The sequence below is a fragment of the Homo sapiens genome, chromosome 2, assembly GCF_000001405.40.
Source record: "Homo sapiens chromosome 2, GRCh38.p14 Primary Assembly".
Lineage (NCBI taxonomy): Eukaryota > Metazoa > Chordata > Mammalia > Primates > Hominidae > Homo > Homo sapiens.
In genome coordinates, this window is record NC_000002.12 from 7,764,194 (window position 1) to 7,780,152 (window position 15,959).

The 15,959-nt window shown below is 44.4% G+C and overlaps 1 annotated feature.

The window, feature by feature from the left end:
- Nucleotides 9,509-9,558: an enhancer, noted in NCBI's record as "active region_15249". NCBI's record gives its function as "activates an Ori minimal core promoter by ATAC-STARR-seq in GM12878 lymphoblastoid cells {active_cell/tissue: GM12878}" and the evidence as "EXISTENCE:reporter gene assay evidence [ECO:0000049][PMID:35858748]".

Below are 15,959 nucleotides of genomic sequence, written 5' to 3' on the forward strand. Positions count from 1 at the left end.
CAGATACCCTAAGTCATCTCTTTCAAGTTCAAAGTTCCACAAATCTCTAGGGCAGGGGCAAAATGTCACCAGTGTCTTTGCTAACACATAACAAGAGTCACCTTTGCTCCAGTACCCAACAAGTTCCTTATCTCCATCTGAGACCTCCTCAGTCTGTATTTCTTTCATTGTCCATATCATTATCACCATTTTTGTCAAAGCCAATCAACAAGTCTCTAGGGAGTTCCAAACTTTCCCACATTTTTCTGTCTTCTTCTGAGTCCTCCAAACTGTTCCAACCTCTGCCTGTTGCCCAGTTCCAAAGTTGCTTCCACATTTTTGGGTTATCTTTTCAGCAGTGCCCCACTCTACTGGTACCAATTTACTGTATTATCCATCTTCACACTGCTGATAAAGGCATACCCAAGACTGGGAAATTTACAAAAGAAAGAGGTTTAATGGGACTTACAGTTCCAAGTGGCTGGGGAAGCCTCATAATCATGAAAGAAGGCAAGGAGGAACAAGTCACATCTTACATGGATGGCAGCAGGAAAAGAGAGGGAGCTTGTGCAGGGAAACTCTTGTTTTTAAAACCATCAGATTTCATGAGACTTATCCACTATCACAAGAACAGCACGGGAAAGACCTGCCCCCATAATTCAATTACCTCCCATGAGGTTCCTCCCACAACACGTGGGAATTCAAGGTGAGATTTGGGTGGGGACACAGCCAAACCATATCAACGATAATGAAAAATCTCATCTTTTTCTAAGGTAAGTGCAATGTATTTTATAATTCACCATTAAGCATGATGTAGATTTTTGATAGATGCCTTTTCTGGTAAAGACACTTACATTTTATTTCTAATTTCTTAAGAATTTAAAAAATTAATACAGCTTACTGATTTTCTTCAATTTTCCACATCTATTAAAATGATTATTTTATTTAAATCATTCATGTGTCAAATCATGCTAATGGATATTTTGATATTGAGCCAGCAATGCATTACTTGGATATTCCCTATTTGATCACTTTTATACATTATCAGATTGAGCATCATAAAATTTTATTTAGAATTTTTGTACCACTTTTCATAGATGAAATTAGCTACTTTCTTTTCTCACAAAAACGATAAAAAACTAACATAATCCAATCACAGGCAGGGTTAGGAAGTTTATTCTCCCATATTTCTTGTCAACTTAAAAGTACTGACTGAAAGCAGGCTCTGTTAAAAAAATAATAGCATGCAAGAGTCTAAACACCAGGCCAGTCATCATTATGAAACATTATGTATCACCATGGCTTCAAAGGTAAGGTAAAACAAGAGCCCTTTCAAACTAGCAGCACCTCCCTTAGAAAAAAACTGAGGTGTTGCTAGTTTGAAAAGACTCTTGTTTTAACTTCCCTTTATGTAATAATTATTAAATTTTATATATGTAATAGTTCAAACATTTTATATATGCAATAATTATTACTTTACATATATGAATTAAATATGAATATATATGAAATGATATATATAGGGCTTGTATTACACATATAATTTAGCCTGAAAATATTGACACATTTATAATGAGAAAAATCTTCTGATTCAAAAATACAGTATGAATTTCTGTTTGTCATAGTCTTGTATTTTTCTGTCTCTGGAGCATTTTCAAATTTTCTTATTATAAGTCACATATATCTTAAGTTTTTTCCTAAATATTGTTTTGTTACTGTTTTTGTTAATGTTTTATTCTTCCCCATATATATTTTTTCATATATGGAAGCTATATATGTTATCTTTTTAATTTTATATGCCCCTTTTTATGAACTGAATTTCCTTACTGTTTGTATTTCTTATATAAGAATATAATCATACCAGCCACAAAAGTTCAGTATTACTGCCTGCTTTTTAGTTAGTATGTCTTTAGTTTGTTTCTCTTATCTAGTTGCATTCACCAGAATGTCAGAAATGATGATGGGGAGATCCTAAGCAAGCTGCTGTGGATGCAAAATAAATCAGACACTAGGTCCCTGTCCTCACAGGGTTAAATGCAAGATTTGAGCTGAAAGAGAAGGAAGCTGACTGGGTGTTAACACACTCTTTCTCTGTGCTACTCTTTTTGACAGCAACTATCAGTACTCTGTCATTTATTTCATAATTACTTGAGTTTTGGCCTCTTTCTCCCATAAAAATATAACTCTATTGTGGAAACAATTCTGTCTTTGAGATCATCACTTTAACTGCAGGGCCTAGAATGTGTAGGCATCCACTACATATTTGGTGACAAATGAAAGCCGGGTGGGCGATGTACAGCCACAGGCCACATCCAGCCAGGCATCTATTTTTATGCAGGAAGCCCCACAGAATCACAGCCACTCCCGTCGCTGTGCGTGTTTTCTAGAGCTGCCTTTGCATTATGTCCAGCAAAGATGAGTGATTACAACAGAAACCTCAAGGCTCACAAGGACGAAACTATTCACTGTCTCACCTCCTACCATTGATGGAAAACGTCGGGCAGCCCTGGAGCTGAAAGATGAATGTCTCAAAGGAAGATGTTCCTTCATAGCAGGCCGTTGGAATCAAACACAGCTTTAATTTGTGGAATTATTTGTTTAATAGCTCCTGTTTTAACCAAAGGTGAGAGAACCGGCATTTGTTCTGCCAGAGGATGAAGTTGATTTGCCTGCTCAGTGTCAGGGGACAGTCTGCTTCTTCCAGGGACAGTGTTACATCCCATACCTCAGTGCACCTTGAGCGGTGTCCAGGGGTGTGTAAGTCAGGACTGACACATCACAGAGGCAGGGAGACCTGGACACCCCACCATCCAGAAACAACATTGGCCCAGCTTGGTTTTGCAGGGTAGCCCAGCCCAGGCCCTGTCTCCCTGCTAACTCCACCCGTCGTCCCTCTCCAGGTCCCCCCGGCTGTGTGCTCTGTCAGCACCCCCAGAAGATCCAGTAAATGTCACACTAGGATGCTCCCCATGACCAAATTAGTCCTGACTGTGTGAGCTGCTCTCTGGCAGCCATCACCTGCCAAGCCGCGGCTACACTGTCCGGAGTGCGTGTTTACCCTGAGAAAGCGTAGCCTAGTGCTTCTGAGGAACCGCAGACCCCTAGGCAGGAGCCAGGAGAAGACCGCCAAGCACGGCGAGGCCGGCCGTGCTACCAAATAAGGCACCTCTCCTGCAGGGAGCTGGGACCTAAGGGACTCGCGCTGGGCACGGGGCAGGCGGCGCCCATGTCCCCTTCCCACGGTGCCCAGAGGGCCTGTCCCATTTGTGAGCAGCTCCCAGGCCGTCCCCCAGCCAGGTGTCCCGTTCGAGGACGCGAGCTCTTCCACTTGTCCCTTGCCCGGGGCCCTGGCTTTCCCTGGGCTCCCCTCATGGTTCACCTGCTCTCACTAAGACGGGGCAAACGAATAACGGGGCTTTTGAACGAAAACGTGGTCGCAGGGCCATTCACAACAGTGTAAGGGGTTAAGACACCTCACCCAAGAGCACGACTCCCGCCGCACCCACAGACATGCACACCAAACAAACCACACCACACACACACACATCACATAGAGACATGCACAACACACACACACCACACCACAACATATCACACCACACACACACCACACACATCACATAGAGACATGCACAACACACACACACCACACCACAACATATCACACCACACACACACCACACACATCACACAGAGACACACACACCACACACACACCACACCACACCACACACACACAGGCACACACCACACACACCTCACAGAGACACACCTCACGGAGACACACGCACCACACACACCCCGTACCACAACACACACACACCCCCAACACACCACACACACACAGCATACACACCACACAGACATATGTACCACACACACTCCACACCATACCACACATACACACACCATACACACCACACACACCATATACACCAGAGACACATGCACCACACACACCCCACATCACACCACACACACACACACACACCATACACACCACACAGACACGTGCACCACACAACACACACATACACCATACATATGACACAGAAACACACACCATACACACCACAAAAATACCACATCACACACATCTCACACACCACAAACAGCATACAGTACAACACACACAACATACACATACATCACATACCACAATATAAAAACATAGACATCACAGACATACCACAGCACACATTACACCACACCCACACTACACGCAGCACATAGATGAACACACCACACACCCACACTGCACACAGATACACAAACCACACCACACCCATGCACACCACATACAACAATATACACCACAACACACACCACATACACACAAACACCACATACATAAGCAGAAACACACAACAGAGGGGTGAATGTGTATGCTGGGAGGACCTCCGTGCAGCCCAGAGGAGACTCCATGCAGAGCCTCCAGGGCAGATGCTGCAGCCTGCGAGGAGACCTTCCCTGCAGATCAGGTGACTGGGGTTGCTGATGACCCATTAGCACTTTATGAGTATTCAAAGGATTTTATCATGTACAAGATGCTCTTCAGAAATCATCCAATTTAAGTACATTTGTTTATTTTGTGTATAAATAAAGGTGGGCTTGGTGTGGAAATCCTCCCCATGCAATACCCTCAAAGGGCCAAATCCAGTCCCAAGCATCCCTGTGCCCTCAGGTCCCCTGGGAGCCATACAGTGGAGCCCCTAGATATGTGGGCCACCACCCTTTCTCCTTCTCTAGCCACGTGGAAGTCTGAGGGGACATCGCCCCAGACACGGAATCTTCTGCCTGTGCCTCTGTGGCAGGAAGAACAAGGGCTTAGTCCCACTCTTGACACCACCAGGCCGGGCAGGTCCTTGCCCGGCTGCGCCTGGAGAAAAGGACAGTGCAGGTAGAAGAAACCAACCTTTCGGGCGCCAAGTCCATCTCCCAGGCACAGTCCACCGCGTGTGCCCAAGGCTTCGTTCATTGAAGCTTCTAAATAGGAGATGGAGGGAGATGCATTTCTGGCTCCTGGTTGGGAGGTAGCGAGGGGAAAAAGAGAGAAAAAAGAGACAGAGCAAAATGTTCATAGACACCCACAGCACAGTGCTGAGGTGTGCAGGGGGAAGTTGTTCATCTACTTTGTGGGCCCACACGTGGGAGCAGGCAGCTGGCAGGGGCACAAATGGGCGCATCGTTTCTATCGCTCATGCTGCATAGGCCTGGAGGAGCAGGGCTGGTGAGTATGCATAAGAAAACTGTTGAGCCCCACACCAGAAAACATGCCCGCATTGCATTCCAGTCAAGTGGTGTTCAAGGCAGCAAAAATGTCTGAGCTAATTCTAAGGACCAGAATTCTAATAGAGCCGGCCCCTTCTATTGGCTGGGAATGTTTGTTTTGAAACAGTGGGCTCATTTAAAGGGATCATTGAAGAGATTCTTCAGGGCCCAGTTCAAATGTCATGACCTGTCTAAAATTATTTCTTCTGCATTTTTGTATCACCTTATATATAACCCCAGTATAATATTTACTATGAATTCTCTATGCAATACATTGTTCAGCGGTGTGCCTTGGAGACAGCAGGTGTTTGTTCAGTGTTTTTATTAAACGGAAGAGTGAATAGGTGGATGAATGAACAAATGACTGAATGACTGCTTTGCAGGAAGGGTACCCAAGTGGGAAGATGGAGCTTTGATCAGCTTGCACATTACTGTTTTAATTAGCTTATGTATTAGTCCATTCTCACACTGCTATAAAGAACTGCCCAAGACTGGGTACTTTATAACGGAAAGAGGTTTAATTGACTCACAGTTTTGCTTGGCTGGGGAAGCCTCAGGAAAGTTACAATCATGGCAGAAGGGAAGCAGGCGCCTTCTTCGCAAGGCGGCAGGAGAGAGTGTAAGTGAAGGCAGAAGGGCCCCTTATTAAACCATCAGATCTTGTGAGAACTTACCCACTCTCAGGAGAACAGCATGGGGGAAACCGCCCCATGATCCAATCACCTCCCTCCCTCAATATGTGGGGATTACAACTGGAGATGAGATTAGGGTGGATACACAGAGCCAAACCATATCAGCTCATGAAGAGAGCTGTGTAACCCAACAAAACATACTGGGCAAGAAACAACAAATTCTCAAATTAGTTTCCTAAAAATCAAAATATTAATGGTAGCAATGCTCAAGGCCAAAGCTAAGATGCCTGTGCAGAAACAGATAAAAAGTTAACTTGGCAATGCCTGCCGTGGTATAATTTCACATCTGTCAATTGTTTTTGTTTGCTTAAAGTTGAAGAAATAGACCAAAGACCAATTGTAAAGTTGTGAAGAAAATTCACTAGATGAAAAAAAGTAAAAACCTCAGATTATGTAGTGCTTTCCCCTAAATATTGGTAACTCTGCAGCTGCCAACAAACAGGACAGCATGTGAACATTTTTGCATTTAGAAAGTATTTGAATTTTAACTTGCAAAAGAAAACAAAATTATATCTGTTGCATTTTCAAGACAATTTTTAAGTAAAAAAAAAAAAAAAAAAAACAGCCATGGAAAAGGCTGTGAAAAGCTATGATTGCTGCTCTGAGGATCTGGGCTTTTTCTTCTCAGTACTGTAGTGAAAACAGAAATGAAAACCTTGAAAAGTAGGGGAAAACCCACATTCCATTAAGATCCTGGCAGCGGGTGCAACAATTATTCTAGAACCCGCAGCAGCCTTTTCATTTGTATCTAAGGAATGGTGGATGGACTCCCTCTATGATCTAACTTTCCTCATCCATGTGAGATTCATAGCAGGCCAGCAGATCACCACTTTTACTCATCCTCAAATGAGAAGCTGAAGCTCCGAGGTCGGGAAAACTGCACCATCCCCCATCGTTAACATGTGATGGGACCAGGATCCCAGTCCACCTTTCCCAAACCCAAATCCAGTGCTCTGTCTGGGTCCCCGCTGGCCAAGGGTCAGCAGAGCAAGCCCTCTGTCAGGTTCTACCCCTCCATAGCCTCCACACTGCAATAATTCCTGTGAGATATTCCAAAGCTCACTTTGTCTTATAATCTATATTGACATTAACTAAGAAAAGTAAAAACATATAAAGAAAATAATAAAATGATCAACTCAATCGCAAAAGTCACTATACTCAAAAACCACAAGTTAGCGACCTTACTGTACAGATCACTCTGCTAGATTGCTTTTGTTTGTCCCCATCCTATGGATGATGAAGATAAGGTGCAAATAATGATGAAATAAGGCTTAAAATTTCTAACCTAACCTTTGGGTTTTCCTTCACACACCCTTTAGAAATATATTTGTTAGATGTGATTTTGCCATATCCTAGTTTTCCTTTGTTGTCTAAAGTATTTTGAAATTCTAAACTGTCCCTTGATGACAGCACTCAGGGAACTGGCGAAGGGACATGAGATTTGGACAGAGGGAGGACGATGTGGCCAGGTGCTGGCCTTCCATGGCAAGGGCTGATGGACATAAATACAAAGGCTAGAAAACTGAAGAGGCTACATGATGAAGATTCATTAAGCCAGCACATAGACAAACAAAGCTAGGTAAGAACAATGCAGCACACCCCAGAGCAATTAAAGCTCATGCACAGCCTTGTTGGGCAGGGCAATTGATTTTAGCAGGCTTGGAACAAGAACGGGCCTCAGGCATGCTATTTTGCAGACAGAATAAAAGAACATCAGAAAAGAAAAGTGACTTGCCCAAGTTCACAGTCAGTTAAGTCAACGATGGGGCAAAAGCTCAGGCCTCTGGGTGCTTTCTCAGTATGGCTTTTATCTGCACCTGATTTCACAAAACAGACTGGAATGTGCTGAGAGGCTGCCAGGCAGGTGGTCAGCATCCATGCAGTGGGTGCTCTCACCAATGCCACACCTGGAGAGGAGGAGGGCAAAGCAGATGTCGTCCGGGTGATTTTCAGCCCTGGGCCCTTCCCCGTTCACACCTCAGGCTTCTCAGCATGTATTGCTTTGCCATGCTTTCCTCAGCTTACAGTAATAACTCCTTTTGCCTGCCACCCACACTGACATGAGCCCCCACTTAGAGATGGCTTCGTGAATATTTCAAATTTTATCAGGTGCTTTAATTAAATCATTGACATTTATGTCAGAGAGTACAAGACTGAAGTTCACTGAGGGTGGTCGTCTTGCCCAGGGTCATCGAACTGGAACTGGCACAGCCAGGATTTGCACCTAAACCTGTTGGACTCCAAGGCCCATGTTCTCTCTACTTAGAGGATAACAGCCAAGACTTCTGATTTCCTACCAGTTTCAGAAAATATGGAGCTCCCACAGCATAGGAATTCTCTCCATAACAGAATGTTATGGCTAAAAGCATGACCCATCTAAAATTCAACTTCGAGTATTTATTTAACAAATAACTACAGTACTTCATTAACTACTATAGCAGATATTTAATAAACAACGTTGTAATATGTGCCATTCAAAGCACTTTACATATATTGAAGCTTTTTGTCTTCCTAAAAACGACATAAAGTAGGAACTATCATTTTTCCATTTTACTGATGACAATACTGAGGCTCAGAGACATCCAATAGATTACCTAGAATTACATGGCTGGTAGGTGGAAGAACTGGTATTCAAATCCAGGCAGCCTGGCTCTACACTCTTGGCTTTTAATCGCTAAGCCATACTCCCCTCTCTAGTTTTGTAGAAATCTTAATAGAATGGAGTATGCATGTCTTTGCCTTCTCAAATTGAGAATAGTGAACCTAGTTGAGCCTTCTGCTTATAATTCAAGGTGACCCACATGAATTTGGAACATTACATCCACTACAGCATGCCTAATACTACCCTCAGACATTTTAGATTGCAAGAGTAAATTTCCCCCAAGACTGGCCCCAGATTGCTGTTCTTATGAAGTTCTTTCCAATTTTTAAAGCTCTTCTATTTATTTCTTCTGCTATCTTCCCTCAGCGACTATGGCTATCTATATATATTATTCATGACCTTGCTTTAAAAGGAATTATCTGGTTCTGTGTCTCTGCAAGATTATCTTGCCTTCTAACACAGCAAAACACATCAGCTTTATGACAGCAATACTTTCTCAAAATTTTTTTCTAGACCCAGTGGCATGTCCCAGCTTGATGTGGCTCCATAAGTGTGTGATATTGTTTAAGATTCTGCTCAAATGGACTCCCTGATTCTGAACCTTGGGAAGGAAGGGTATCAGCAGCATCGGAAGGGAGGCTCTCTGGAGTTTTTCTATGGAGGAAGTCGCCACACACACAAATGCCGCATTGTCAACTCTCTAGAACACAGTCATCTCACAACTGTGGAATGTCCCTCCTTGCCAAACCCTCAGGACGACAGCAGTTGAAACTTTCATATACGGAGGAGTGGAGGCTCCTACGGAAGAAAAGAGGAAGAGCCAGTGCTTGATGCAGGCTTTTGACACTTCAAGTTGGGCAATGTTTTTGGTTTCAGCAAAGTTGCTAAAAACCACAATTCCCAAGGTTGGCCTGAACTTTGATTCAGAGCTTGAATTGCTAAGAAAGGTGGGGCTGGCCACAGGTTTCACTTGGCAGCAGCTCGCTTCTTCCCTGTGGGCGGCTACCCCTGCTGTCCTTTTCCATGCGGAGTTCCTGGCCATGGGTCCATGGTCAGTAGGTGCTTCTCTCTTACACCCTGGGTCACAGCACAGCAGTGGCTCTCAAGGCGGGCCCCCCTGGCCAGCCACAGCAGCATCACCTAGAATCTGTTAGAAATGCAAATTCCCTACTGAATCAGAAACTCTGGTGCTGGGGCCCAGCAAGCTGTGTTTTAACAAGTGCCAAAGGTGATCTGAAGCACCTGCAAGTCTGAGAACCATGACAATAGAAGAAAAGGAAATGCAGACAAATGAGAAGAAAAAAGTGAATTTAGAAATAAAGGGAAGATTCAAGCCCAGTGAGTGACCCCTGTCATCAGAGGGGTGTGGCAGGTGGCCCTACAAGAGCTTCACAGCGCAAGTCAACTTCCCATGAGCCCAGACAGGTCTACAGATGTGGCTCTCCAGACTCTATGTTGAGAGGAATGTTGAGGCCATACCTCAGAAGGAAATCACACAGAGACAAATAAGCAAGGCTGTGTGGGCCAGGAGGAGCAGGGGACAACCTGCCAATTTGCCCCTAAGGGCGAGAAATTGAAACTGGGGTTAGAGAGTTAGACAAGCACCTTGGATAGAGCCCTATAGTGTTTTTTGTTTTTGTTTGTTTGTTTGTTTGTTTTTTTACTGAGCAGGTCTTACTATGGTAACACCTGGTCATAAAATTCTAAAATCATTTGTTTAGAAAAGGATATGGCAATTCACTGAGCCCAGTTCCCCAGCCATGGTCTCCAGCACACTTCCACTAAGAAGCCCCTAGCAATGGAAGGTCAGCTGTCTCTAAAAGCTGTGCATTCTATCTTTGGAGAAATGTGGACCTGAAACGTTTCTGCAGACATCCTGGCCCTCCCTGAAAGTTTTACCCTATGAGGGACTCAACAGAGGTGATTTGACATTAGGACACTCTGATGCACACATGCACACAGTAGTTCTCAGAAATGTGACTTTCTTTCTTTCTTTCTTTATGACAGTCCTTCCTCTAGGGTGCTGGGCATGCCTTCGTTTCTCTATTCTGTGAGTACTTGTGCTCATGGGGCCTGCGCTGGGTGCTGAAGAGACATTGCTCAGGTGAGCAAAACAATCAGGGGCCTGCCTTCTGGAAATTGAATCTAATAGGAGCATCAGATATTAAACAGCTAGAAAAATACATATTAAATTTTCAGTGTGACAAGTATATAAAATAAAAAATTCCACAAGAAATCTTATCAAGTTCCTTTCCATGAAAAGAACGAACTTGAATTGTTATTGTCTGTCTTGCGTTGAGTCTTTGGACTCATTGTTAATTGATCCAATGTCATTTTAGCCAGCTCTTAACCTCCACACTTTTTCTTCCTTCATAGGAAAATTCCACTGCCACAAAAAGTACAAGGAAATATGCTATGCAATCCTACCTTTATGAAATTTACAATCTAGTATAGGAGATGAACTTAAAATAATTGTAAGGAAGCTGTGAACCATTTCTGCAATACATGTTTAAGCGTGGAAGGGAGAGTTGCGAAGAAGGCATTAACAGCAACTCACGGAAAGCTTCAGTGGGAAGGTGGGATGTGAGCTGAGTCTTTTAGGATGAGCAAAATGTGAAAGGTAAGCAAAACAGAGCAGCCTCTGCTGTGTGTGGCGGGGTGGGGGGGTTGTGGGGGGAAGGAGGGGAGGGAGGGGAGAGAGAGAGAGAGAGAGGTTTCTATCTTAATAATAGAGATGTTATAGTGAAAATGGCACACAAAATGCACCAACAAGATCTGTTTTTTTTTTTTAGGCCCTTCAACTATTTTTTTAGGCCCTTCTTGCTTGTATTTTATGATTTACAAATTTTCATACTTTTGTAATCAGGAAAAATAAATATGATATCAAACTTAAAGTTAAAAAATGCATCCAAAGGCACTGACGTACGCCAGGCAGGCAACTTCATTCTCCCATGTGTCCAACACAGAACTCACAAGACTCTTGGCTGGATGTCCTCTTTTCAGGAAAGAAGGTTCATTTTTAGAGATAATTACACACTGTGTAAGCATAGAAGTCTCCCTTTTATTCTGAATGGTTTCCTGAAAACGCTGTAACTACTGCATTTAGTTGTGGCAAACTTGGGTGTTCAAGAGGCATGGAACAGCCAGAAAGGGTTCATAAAGCCTGGGCCAGATTCAGCACAAAGATTTTTCTAGGCTCAAAAAAGGGTCTGTAACTGGACCAGACTGATCTGAGCACCTCCTCATACTTTCTGGCTGTTTCTGATCTATCCTCGACATGTTACACCGTATTCTTGTTTAATCTTTATAGCACAGAGGGGATAAAGAACACAGAGGCTTAGGAAGATGAGGGTGGTCGGTGGGTATCACATCGCTACCTTGATCCAGGCCTGTCTCCGCTCTCCGCTGAACCAAGCTTACACCATGGGGTGCTCATCCTGGCCTTGCTCTCTGAGGAACTTTCCAATAGTAGGTGCATTTATTTTAAGGCAAAACAAGAATCTGTCTGTAAGTACATCTTGGAGTGTGAGGGTCGAGACGGCTGATGCTGTCTGTGTCTATTGGTTCTGTCAGTGCCTGTTTGAAAAAGAGGCTGGTATTTTATCAGTTTTATCTTTGTTGATTCCAAGATGTTTGTCTCGTGATTGCATTTTCTTCCATGGCTAAATATTTCTGAGGGGTTTTAAAGTCATAATAATTGATATCCTTTCAAACATGCTTTCTCCTGTTTTTCTGTTTTTGACTGAAACTGAATCTCTGCCTTCTTTTTCTTTTTCTTTTTTTTTTTTTTTTTTTTTTTTTTGAGATGGAGTCTCACTTTTTCTCCAGGTTGGAGTGCAGTGGTGTGATCTTGGCTCACTGCAACCTCTGCCTCCCTGGTTCAAGAGATTCCCCTGCCTCAGCCTCCTGAGTAACTGGGACCACAGGCACACACCACCACGCCCAGCTAATTTTTGTATTTTTTGTAGAGACGCGGTTTCATCATGTTGGTCAGGAGGGTCTCAATCTCTTGACCTTGTGATCCGCCCGTGTCAGCCTCCCAAAGTGCTGGGATTACAGACGTGAGCCACCGCCTGGCTCAGCCAATTTCTGTCTTCTTATAAGCTCATTTTGGGGGTGAAAGCCTCTTTCATTTCTCCTCTGGCTTCTGGGCGCTCTCATCTTCCTCCCTGACGACCAGGCATGCATGAGAAGCAGAGACTGCCCAGCGTGAACCTGATCTGTGTCTGCTGCTGGATTCTGACCCAACTGGGGATGCCTGTGCACTGGAGGGCAAGGATACCTGAAGGTGTTTTCACAGGGGATTTGGGGACTGCTTAGAAAGAGCTAAGCTGGAGCAGGGCCTAACATAAAGAGCACAAACTAGAGATTCTCTCTGGTTGTTTAGGAGGAAAAGTGACGGAAGTAGATGTTGCTTAACTCGCTCCAGACCTCACCTCCACTGTGCAATGACACAGTGCTCACAAATGGCTGGTGGAGACCCGAACTGGAGCCAGAGGCCAGGCAGGATACTGCTTCGTGGGAGGATGAAGAAGGGCTTTGTACTACCTGCCCCAACTTCGACACCATTTGCAGATGAAGCTCCAAGAAACATGAAAACCAGACAGCTATAGCGCTTTGGGTGGAGTGTGCTGCTGGGCACAGCAAATATAAATGGCCTTAAAGAAAAAGCAGAATGGACAATGAATGCCATCCCTTAAAGCGACGTCTTTGCTGCAGCCTCTTCATTTGCCCTCGGATTAATGCGTGATAGTTTCCTGTCCCTGGTACTTGGGGCTGTGCAGTGAGGTGAGTAGGACGTTACCTCTGGGGGGTGGAGGAGAATCAGATAAACTCAGCCAGACCAAAGAGTGAGTGACTGAAGTTCTCTGGAAGGACAGGCTTCAGTCCTGGGATTGAGGGTAGCAGTTAAGGGTCCATTTGGCTTAAGGCAGAGAAAGGTATGTTAGCCTGTGAGGGCTGCCATAACAAAGTCCCACAGACGTGATGTCCTAAACAATAGTAATTCATTTCTCAGAGTTCTAGAGGCTCAAGTCCAAGGTTAAGAAGTCAGCAGGGTTGGTTCTTCTGGAGGCCTGTCTTCTTGGCTCTCAGACGCCACCTTCCTGCTCTGTCCTCATGTGGCCTCTCCTCTGTACACAATCACCCTCTCCCCTGGTGCCTTCCCCTTCTTACCGGGACACCAGTCAGATTGGATTAGGGCTATCAGTGTGATCTCATTTTACCTTAATTACTTCTTTAAAAGCTTTATCCTTAAATATCATCACAGTGGGGTTAGGGCCTCAACACACAATTCAGTTCATAAGAAAATGGGACACCAATGAAAAAATGCCAGGCATCCAGAATAGAACTAGATAACAAAAGTGCTAACAGAACTTAGAAGTGAGAGGGAGGGGCCGGGCACGGTGGCTCACACCTGTAATCCCAGCACTTTGGGAGGGTGAGGCAGGCGGGTCACCTGAGGTCAGGAGTTTGAGACCAGCCTGGCCAAAATGGTGAAAACCTGTCTCTACTAAAAATACAAAAATTAGCCGGATGTGGTGGCATGCACCTGTAATCCCAGCTACTTGAAAGGCTGAGGCAGGAGAATCACTTGAACCCGGGAGGTGGAGCTTGCAGTGACCTGAGATTGTGCCATTGCACTCCAGCCTGGATGACAAGAGCAAAGCTCCGTTCCAAAAAAAAAAAAAAGTGAGAGGGAGAGAAGAGGGGGCTCCTTGTCCCCACACGACCACTGCACCTCAATTTCTCCTCTAGAGATGTCCCGTGTGCAGGCATGTGCACCTTGTGTACCACTGGCCACGACAGCTATATTGCAAATACTCTGATTTTAGTCAACTGTGCCACCCTTTCCTAGAAATAGTTTAATCAGATAGCAAAAATATATATACAACAACGAAACATAAATATTAAAATTCAAAGTGAAGTAAAAATAAAGGAAAACAGTAAAAGGTAACGCAGTGGAGAAAATGATCATAGTACAGAAAAATTCATACAGAGAGCTTTCTCATAGTTACCAACTGTTTCCTCCAACGTTCTGTCTAAGCCCCTCATAACCAAAGCAATAGGACCACATAACCAGTTTTAAGCCTTGTATTGTTCATGGGAACAACTGGAAGCTCCGCTGAGGGTTCACCATGTTTGTCATCGCCTCCCCAGCACTTCTCACAGCCCCTGACATGGCACTAGATGGCGGTTAATAGATGGACGATGAAGAACATGAATGATGCATAAGTACGATGGTTAATTTTGTGCATCCACTTGACTGGGCCACTAGATGCTCACATATTTGGTGAAACATTATTCTGGTTTTTTTTTTTTTTTTTTTTTTGAGAGGGAGTTTCACCATGTTGGTCAGGCTGATCTCGAACTCCTGACCTCAGGTGATCCGTCTGGCTTGGCCTCCCAAAGTGCTGGGATTACAGGCATGAGCCACTGTGCCTGGCCTATTCTGGGTGTTTTTGTGAGGGTCTTCTTGAGGGAGATTAACATGTAAATTGGTAGACTGGGTAAACAGATGCCATCCCTGATGTGGGTGGGCCTCGTCCAGTCGAAGCCTGAATACAACAAAAGCCTGGTGTTCCCCTGAGAAGGAAGTGTTCTCTTCCTGCCTGAGAGCTTTGGGACTAGGGCATTAGCTTTGTCTATGCCTCCAGACTTGAATGGAAACATAGGCTCTTCAGGAGTCTTGAGCCCGCCAGCCTGCAGACTGGAACTCCAGCATGGGTTCTCCTGGGTCTCCAGCTTCCCGACTCACCTTGTAGATCTTGGCACTTGCCAGCCTCTTAATCACATGAGCCAATACCTTACAATCATTTACTCTCTAGATAGATAGGTAGATAGATCCACCCTACTGGTTCTGTTTCTCTAAAGAAATGTGACATACAACAAGTTAATTCATTTTTTAGCACTCAGATGTGAGGGACATTTCTCTTGCACATCTAAAAGACAGCACAATGATGAAGTGAAATGTATGTGGCTGTTATTGTTCTAATAGATTAGAAGGTATTAGTAAACAAGTGTCTCAGTATTTAATGTGCATATGAATCACCCAGGGGTCTTGTAAAAGTAAAAACTTGGATTCAGTATGTCCAGGGTGGGAGCCTCCAGGTGTCTGGCCCCTTAGCCCACAGCTAAAGAGGGAGCTCTTAGAGTCTTTCTCAACACCACCTATGGAGATAAGGACAAATAACTTGTGGGGTCACCCTAGCTACAGGAGCTACCTTCCCTCTATTCTCTCAGAGCCTACCGTCGGGGGTCACAGGTCCTGGAGCTCTGCTGGATGGTCCTACGGGCTCCACCCCTAAAAGACTGTCTTTGTGATTTAAGGAGGCAGCCAAAGTGACTGCCTCTAGCTTCCCTGTGACCTGTGTTCTGGAGGAGGTAAAGAGTGGGTCTAGACTAGCCCAGCTACT